Source organism: Homo sapiens, chromosome 1 (genome assembly GCF_000001405.40).
Source record: "Homo sapiens chromosome 1, GRCh38.p14 Primary Assembly".
In the NCBI taxonomy this organism is placed as follows: Eukaryota; Metazoa; Chordata; class Mammalia; order Primates; family Hominidae; genus Homo; species Homo sapiens.
In genome coordinates, this window is record NC_000001.11 from 109,389,532 (window position 1) to 109,398,070 (window position 8,539).

General features: G+C 43.2%; 1 protein-coding gene across 4 annotated transcripts in view, besides 3 other annotated features; it reads right to left on the reverse strand.

The window, feature by feature from the left end:
- Positions 1-8,387, reverse strand: part of SORT1 (sortilin 1) — an 88,344-nt gene extending 79,957 nt beyond the window's left edge. For 2 of the 4 annotated variants that reach the window (XM_005271100.3, NM_002959.7), the window contains exon 1: positions 8,056-8,387. In XM_005271100.3, coding sequence (XP_005271157.1) covers positions 8,056-8,361 — 306 coding nt within the window. In that variant the 5' untranslated portion in view covers positions 8,362-8,387. Of the gene's footprint in view, positions 1-3,495; positions 3,605-8,055 lie in introns of those variants that run through there. The other 2 variants (NM_001205228.2, XM_005271101.4) reach the window with 1 other exon arrangement.
- Positions 8,164-8,263: a silencer, noted in NCBI's record as "silent region_1147". NCBI's record gives its function as "represses an Ori minimal core promoter by ATAC-STARR-seq in GM12878 lymphoblastoid cells {active_cell/tissue: GM12878}" and the evidence as "EXISTENCE:reporter gene assay evidence [ECO:0000049][PMID:35858748]".
- Positions 8,274-8,343: a silencer, noted in NCBI's record as "silent region_1148". NCBI's record gives its function as "represses an Ori minimal core promoter by ATAC-STARR-seq in GM12878 lymphoblastoid cells {active_cell/tissue: GM12878}" and the evidence as "EXISTENCE:reporter gene assay evidence [ECO:0000049][PMID:35858748]".
- Positions 8,384-8,513: a silencer, noted in NCBI's record as "silent region_1149". NCBI's record gives its function as "represses an Ori minimal core promoter by ATAC-STARR-seq in GM12878 lymphoblastoid cells {active_cell/tissue: GM12878}" and the evidence as "EXISTENCE:reporter gene assay evidence [ECO:0000049][PMID:35858748]".

Genomic DNA, 8,539 nt, shown 5'->3' on the forward strand with positions numbered 1-8,539 from the left:
AGGGCTCTGACCAGCTAATCGGCCCAATAATCCATGATTCAAACCATTAAGCACATTATCAGCAAGAGTTCAACCTTATCCTTGTTCACAAATGTTCAGAAAAATCTGTTCATAGGCATCACTGTCTTACAGCTCCTGGCTTCCTCATGCCTTGGCTCACATTCTTCTTCAACCAGGTCCAGAAGTTTAGGAGTGCTTTTTGGAAACGTTAGCACTTCAAGTATAAAGGATGGTCTGCCTCACCTTCTGTTCTGCTTTCCTCTGGGACCTTCACATCCAAGACCAAAGCAATGGCCGGCCTCTGAAAGGGGAACTCTTCTTGGCTCCCCATTTCTACCTCTGGTTCCTCCAGCTCTAGCCTCATGTCTAGCACTATCTGTTAAAACTCTCTCTTTCACAAGTAAGTCCTTTTGCCAAACTCACTACCCACGCCCCTCCTCTCTTTCCATCCCCCACAAAAGAGCTATCTTTTTTTTAACTTCCCTATATGTTTTCCTGGAAACCTTAGTCATACTCCCCATCAACTACCTCACCCTAAAATAAAGTTTCTGTTGACCATCCCTTGAACATATCTTGGATTTTCCTACTTCCTTCGTGCCGTTACAGATCTCCCTAAAAATCACCTCCACTTTGATTCTCTCTTCAGCCAGAGGGCTTTCCCAGAACACTGCACTGCAGTGGTCAAGCCTTCTTCCAAACTCCCAGTGAAACATCTCTGAACACCTAAATCCTTAAGATAGCCCCAGTGCTTTGCTTTGTTTATGCACAGGTCTGGACTCCACTCAGTACATGGCAGGCAGCTCAGTAAGTGTCTAAATGAATGACATCTATATAGTACTTTACCTTTAACAAAACACGTTGATAAAACTTCTCATTTGACCCTCCAAACAATCCTAAGAGCTGCTGCTCTAGTTTAAAAAACAACTGTAAAGACCACTGAAGTTAAGTGATTTTCCATAATCACACAGCTATGAAGCAGCAGAGCCAGGACCCAAATCTGGGTATTGAGACATCTCTTTGAGATTTTGTATACAACATATTTATGTTTTGAATCCTTTGTGACAAATAGCAAATACTAGATAAAAATGATTTGAACTAACTTGTCTGGGAATTATTGAAGTTAATACAAATTTTCCTTCCCAGTTCAATTTCTCCTGGTCCTTCAGAGCAATTGTACTGTGGAACCAGACTTGCAAACTGGCTTCAGTACAATATTAGAAAGTGTGTGTGTGTGTGTGTATGTGTGTGTGTGTGTGTGTGTGTGTGTGCGCGCGCGCGTTTTAGGACATACAGGAAGACTAAAATGCTTATCCAAAGCAAACATAAGACGGATAGTATTCATAAGCCAGAGAAGGAACATACATACGTTTTCTTCTGATAAAAATAAATCAAGCCAATTAATCACATATAAGTTTCTACATGTGAATATATTTATGGTAAGCTGACCATCTATTTTCAAACACACAGGCAGCCAGGATGAAGAAAAAAAGCCCCAGTTTTGGCAGAGTACTATAGGAAAGGGAAAAAGAAAAATGAATTTACTGCTATCTGTTGGGTTTGCTTTTGGACTATTCAAGCTAGTAGCTTTTATTAGCATTAGATTTTTCAGCCAACAAGGAACAAACGGTAAAATATTACCCCCAAAATAAAAGAGAAAAATGTCTTTCATAACTACATGAAAAAAAGTACTCCTGCTATCTTTAAGAACATGCATATTTCACTGAAGCAAGTTCTGGAGGTGGTAGTAAAACACCCCTAAATGTGAAATCCATGCTATGTTCAAGTTTGACTGGGAAGTCAAACAGCCACAGTTTGCTTCTAAATTTGGAATCAGCCAGGAAAACATTTGTGATCACAACCTCTGGCCTCTCCCATATGAATCATAGAATTTTTGAAAGAAATTTTAAAGCTAGTCCAAAACTTCTTGTGCTGTAGATGAGGAATCGAGGGCCAGAGACTAAAACACAAAACAGAAAATAAGTTACATTCACAGAAAACTTCCTCGGCAAAACACGACAGGTTCTGAGTGGAAGGATTTTGTTTTTACTGTGGTTTCCTGAGATTGAGATTGGGGATAGAGAAGGAAAAACAGCCTCCATCTTTCACCTAAAAATTTTCATAGGTATGAGGAATCTGTCATGAACATTCATTCAACCAAACTATCTCAAAGCAACATATTACTAACCCAACTTTGACTGCAGTCACCATTGAAACAAGAACAAAAAAGCTGCCTAGAACTGACTGAAATTGATCAGCTTGTTCTTCAAGCCCCATTAATCCTCAAATCCACCTGCATACAAATCACTGAGACCACATAGTGGGAAGAACAAGTTTTCACCAAGTTTTTAAAAATAGAAGTAAAAGATGCAATAAAAACACTGATGACAAAAGGAGAGAAAGGGAACTGAAACTTGTAGAAATCTACAAATGCAGTATCTAGTTCATAATATTGTCAGAGCCATTGCCACAGTTTTGTTGTTTCTAGAAAAGCTGTATTTTAAATTACATGTCAAATGTGATGGCTTTGTCTGCCTTAATATTAGCTCCTAATTATATAAAATATCTGAGCCTCATTTCTGCAGCCTCAAAACATAGTTCACTTTCTGTAAAAAAAATTGAGGGGTAGGATTAGGTAGGAAGGAGGGAGAAGAACAAACGTTACTCCCCCGTCCTGACCATTACAACTTGGTGCTAAGCACTGCCCAGCATGTGATGGTCACACAAGGGTAACAGGCCAACTGGGACAAAGTTGGGGAACGCAGACTCTGCAGTCACCCACTGAGAACCCAATGCCTGTTGACGAGAGTTGACTGGAAACTGGCAGAGTGCAGAAGAAACTGCTAATAGTATCTGTGACCCTGACATGAAAGATCTGATCAAAACAGCAGGATAGAAAGCCTATTATTGTTGTTAATAATCACAAAAAGAAAATAGCCATTAGAAATTGAACAGAACATAAGCCTTCTTCCAATTATTTCCACAAGCAGACATGAGACTCAGATTTCTAATTAAAAATCACTGTGCACAGAGCCAAACATTTGAGTCAGCAGAGAACTTACCTAATTGTTAACACTGCATTCCCTTGGAGCCATCTGTCATACCTGGCTAGCTTTCTACTCTCATCCCAACCAAACTTCAGATGAAGACTAACCTTTCCCCAGATAAATTACACTTCATCAAATCTGCTGATACTTCTTACTGAAATATCCAATGCATAAGTCATTTTAACATCCCTCTAGGGGCTAAAGGTCTGACTATACATTGCATGAGAGAAGACTCTTCATGAAGGTTTCGCTCACTCTGCTCAACCAGGACCAAGAAGGAGATCCTACAGAGTTCCTACTCCTTGATCCAAAGCTGAATGGAAGAAACAGAACTCAAGAGACTATTAAATAAGCTAGACGGCTGGGGGTGCTAGGGAAGGTAGGATGAAGAGAGGCCAAGTATTGGAAGAAATGAGGCAGTTAGGAAGTTCCGGGGCATTAAAGGACTGACCTTCAGACTTCCGGGTGTTACAAAGGTCTGGCGATTCACAACAACAGGCCGAGGTCTTCAGCGGCAGCTCCCTGAAGCCTCTGACAGGCACACTCAGTCCTGTCAGCTTGGACTCAACCCTGCCAGAGCCAGCAAACAAACACACGCATTCTTCCCAGAGCTGACACCCCATACAACACGGCCTCTCTACAGGGCCTGTTTATTTAAGGAACCAGATGCTTTAAAGTTGGAGTAGAAGTTGGGAAGTTATGTTTACAGAAGTAGTTAGTGACAGGAGCAGAGGGAGGACAGAAAATAAGCAAGAGTTCCTGGCTTTATTCATCATAAGTTTAAAAAGTTTTAAGGAAATTGTCAAATGGTCTGTACACAGGAATGAGAAGTAAGGAAATTATGTCAGCCACCACCACAACTCTGGCCAAGGCATTTCATCTGTTCCTTTAAGACAGTTTCATGCCTACCCTCAAAGGGGTGCTTACAGCAGAAATGTTTTGAAGCAATCCAACTTAGTAACCAACAATAAAGTCTTCTAGGCCTGCTCAATTTCACGCATGTACAAAGGTTATACATGTCATGAATACTCCAAGCAGCTGAAGGAAAGAATCAGTTAAAAATGTGGCATGAAAACAGTTTTGAGTTCCAGGCAAAAGGAAGATTATTGAGTCTAAGAAGAGAGCATTTATAAATGATAGCTAATTGCTGAGTGCTAATTATGTGCCAGACATTCTTCTAATGAGTTATTACATATGTATAGATTATACAACACAATGTGATATGTTGTAATACATACTATAACTCATTACAAATACAATATTACATATGCATATATTATGTAATACAAATATATATTTATACAATAATATACATATACGTATATATTATGTATATATAATTTAACACACACTCATTTAATTCTCACAACCACCCTACAAATTAAGTGCTCTTATCTTCACTTTACAGATTAGGAACTGAGACACAGAAAACTTAAGTAACTCACCCAGGATCACACAGTGACATGGCCAGGGTTCAAATGCAGGCAGTCCAGATAAGGCAGTGCTATACCACCTTACCATGGTAAGTCAAACCCTTAGAACAAAATTAGGGAGCATAATTTTTGGAAAGTTATAACTATTTATCTTTCTCCTTCGTTTTCTTGTCATCCCTTTTGTTTGTTTTTTTAGTAATAGCCAGTATTTTTTATTTCCACTTTCCCATGAGTCTATTATAGCTAACTTGTAATACTGTAACTAGAAAGGAAAATGTTTTCCTCTCCTGCCTCAACTCCTAAAATAAAGCACTTAATCATTAGGACTTCTATGTGAAAAAATATATGCTGTGTGTAATAAACCCAATGCACTTTAAATATATTTTAAATTAATAGATTGAAAAGAAATGATATGAGAAAAAAAACCTTAGAGAGAAAAAGGGAGGCTTGGGCAAAGAGAAAAACCTGCTGGATTTCATGGACAGAGAAGCCTGAGTGGTCATCAGGACACCGGTCTCCTTAAACCGTAATATAAACGCACTATTATGCTTTAGCTTTACCGTGCTTTCTTGAGAAGACAGGTTAAATGCTAATATATCCTCATAAGCCACAGACACAGGTCTAGTAGTTTGCTATAACCTTCTGAGGCTTTTCATTCTCCAGTCTGAATGATCTTTTCTTTGTATCTTGGCACCCCAGCATCTAGCACAGATCTAGGCATTTGGAGGGCATTCACATACATTGATGATGTGAATTAATGTGGCTTGAAATGAAACAGGACCAAGTTAAAAGAAATAAGAGAACCATGAACTTTTGCTTTTTCTTGGGACTCGAATCCTGTCATGTTATGTAGGAAAAATGATTCTACATGTACCTTCCTTCCCCAGTTGTACAAAGTACAATATCTCTGATAAAAAGTTGTTCTGTCATGCTGATGCTTTTATTTCACACTGTTTTATAAACGGTCCAAAAATACTAGATCTCTTCAATACAGTTCAGGATTTTTTATGACTTCTAAAACCAAATAAATAAACAGAAGAACAGGCTACTACATAACAATTCTTGGTTAAGAAGTACTACTTAACCATTTTTAAGGTAAATGATATTAAACAAAGGCTCCACTTTTTTTTTTTTTAACCAGATACAGAAAGGATGAGATCTCTGAAGAAGAGACCACGGATGACTAACAAACGCAAAAACTTTTTTTTTTTTTTTTTTTTTTTTTTTTTTGAGATAGAGTCTCACTCTGTCACCCAGGCTGGAGTACAACGGTGCGATCTCGGCTCGCTGCAACCTCTGCCTCCTGGGTTCAAGTGATCGTCATGCCTCAGCCTCCAGAATAACTGGAATTACAGGCGCATGCCACCGCGTCTGGCTAACTTTTGTATTTTTAGTAGAGACAGGGTTTCACCATGTTGGCCAGGCTAGTCTTGAACTTCTGACCTCAAGTGATCCACCTGCCTTGGCCTCCCACATTGATAAGATTACAGGCATGAGCCACCGTGCCCAGCCAAAATAGCTATTTTAAATAAGGTCACTGAAAAAAAGACTGGGAGAGAAAAACTAAAAAAAAATTATTGCAAACAGCTAAATGAAAGAAATAGAAGAAAATTTCTTTACATGTGGACTTCAAAGAATGAGTGGTTTTAGGTCTACTCTTCCACAGATTTGGCCTTAGAACCCCTGAGCCAGTTTTTTCAACCTCTTTCTTTGGAATCAATATATTACAAATGACACATCAATTCAAACTAACCAGGAAGACTCTGACTCAAGGAATAAATCCAGGCAGGGCATAGTGGCTCACGCCTCTAATCTCAGCACTGTGGCAGGCTAAGGTGGGTGGAGCACTTGAGCCCAGGAGTTCAAGACCAGCCTGGGGAACATGGCAAAACCCTGTTTCTTAAAAAAAGAAAGAAAGAAAGAAAAGAACAATTAGCTGGGTGCATGTACCAGTAGTCCCGGCTACTTGGGAGGCTGAGGTGAGAGGATCACTTGAGCCCAGGAGGTCAGGGCTGCAGTGAGCTGTGATCACACCACTGCATTCCAGCCTGGGCAACAGAGTGAGACCCTATCTCAAAAAAAAAATAGTAATTACACAAAAATTAGCTAGGCATAGTGGTGCACACCTGTAGTCCCAGCTACTCAGGAGGCTGAGGTAAGACTCTATCTCACAAAAAAAGAGAAAAAGAAAAACAGGAGTAAATCTAAATCCAGGAGTAGCAGCAGACCTAAAGTTAGGTCAACCAGCGAGAGAAGAATTTGAAATATGGAGCAAGAATGCTGTGACCAGCTAGCTCAAGGAAGGAAGTGGTCCAGTATAAATTAAGCATTAGTGTTGTAAAGCCTTTCTCAATCCCCCACTGTGAGAAGGAAGTCTATTCGATTTTTTTTTCTCATCAAGTAGGAAGACTTCCCAGTACTCATTCTACCCAACCTGTCTCACCCTCCAGCACTAGCTTGGCTACCTTTACACAGCTGCTGCTCGGGATACACTAAGCACAATTATTCCTGAATATTTGTGTCTTGTGTCCTCAGATCAGAGAATTCTATTACAGGTAACAAGTATGGTCCAGATAACCAGGCAGTCCAAAGGGAGACTGAGGCTTGGCTGACGCTGAAAAACGGTTACAGAAGGACAAGTGCTGGCACAGAGCCTTGGCCACCCATCTCTGCCCCCAAGTGCAATTCATTTTCTTTGAAAGAGGAAAACAGGCAAGGGAGAAAATATATAGAATTGAAAATACATTATGCAAATGTGGCTAGCAAGGATTAAATTGTTAATTTTAGAGAAATAGGAGAAAGATGCCCAAGTTGTGCTGAAGCAAGGAACCAGGACTTTCTTAATAATTAGTTTTGTCAGTCCAGTAGTGTGCAAAGGTTGAGCTGCTTGTCCCCAGGGACAGAAATCCCATAATTTTGAAAGTCTTTTGACCAAGAGCTGGCTCAAAGCAGAATATGTGCAATGCGTTTCTTAACTATTGAAAATCTTGTCACCACGGGATATAGACATGCTAGTCAGACTTCCGTACCATGACAGAAGGTCAAATCTGAAGCAGTAAAAGAGATCACATAAATATTGCCATCTCATTTCCAAGCTAGTCCCCTTAACTATTAAAACACGGTGACCAGATCGCTGCTTCGGGCCTCCTGAACTCCCGCCTCTCCCACCCGGAAAGTACTGACCCAGAGAGGACACACCTTTGCTTCTGCGCAGCCCAACTTCTGCAAGCGCTCAAGAGTTAATTACTCCTTCACCTTCCTGGGGCCTAACAGCGTTACTGGGTCCTGATTATTTATACAGACGAAAAACGATGTTCAAGAGATTTTGACAACTTAAAAAAAAAAAAAAGAATGCGGTGGAAGTCTAAGATTGCCTCCCCTATGACAAAACACAGCCCCGCCGGCCGCCCGGGCCCGACTCCGCCCGCCCGCCCGCCGCAGTTTCGGGGCTGCGGCCCGGGGGACGCGGGCGCGGCAGGGCTGGGGTCTCCTCCGGGAGTCGCGGGGCGCACGGGCCGGGAGGGGCACGCGGGCGGCACCTCGCACCCGAGCGGCTCCCGGGCCCGGCGCCCGCTCACCTGGTGCGTGTTGTTGGCCAGCTTGGCGACGAAGTCCCGGACCCGGCCGCACTCCTCGTCCTCGCCCGGCGCGCTGCGACGCCAACGGCCGCCGCGGGGAAACGCGCCCCCGGCTGCGGCCGCCCGCAGCCCCCAGCTCACCCCGATGGGGCCAGACCAGCGCGGCAGCGGCGCAGCGGGCGGCGGCGGCGCGTCCAGCCGGTCCTGGCTGAGGGTCGACGGCGGCAGCAGCTGCAGGAGGAGGAGGAGGCCGAGGCCATGGGGCCAGCGCGAGAGGCCGTCCGCAGCTCCCCAGGGCCGCTCCATCGCCGCCGAATGCCGCCGACGCCGACACCTGCCGCCCGGCGCGCCCGCCCACCCCCGCCGGCGCGCGCCACACCCCCGAGCCGAGCGCGGCGCTCCTTGGATACGCGCGGCCGGGCCTCTCCGCCCCATAGGCTGGCCGCCTGTCCCTCTTCCCCGGCCCACTCCTCATTGGCTCGCG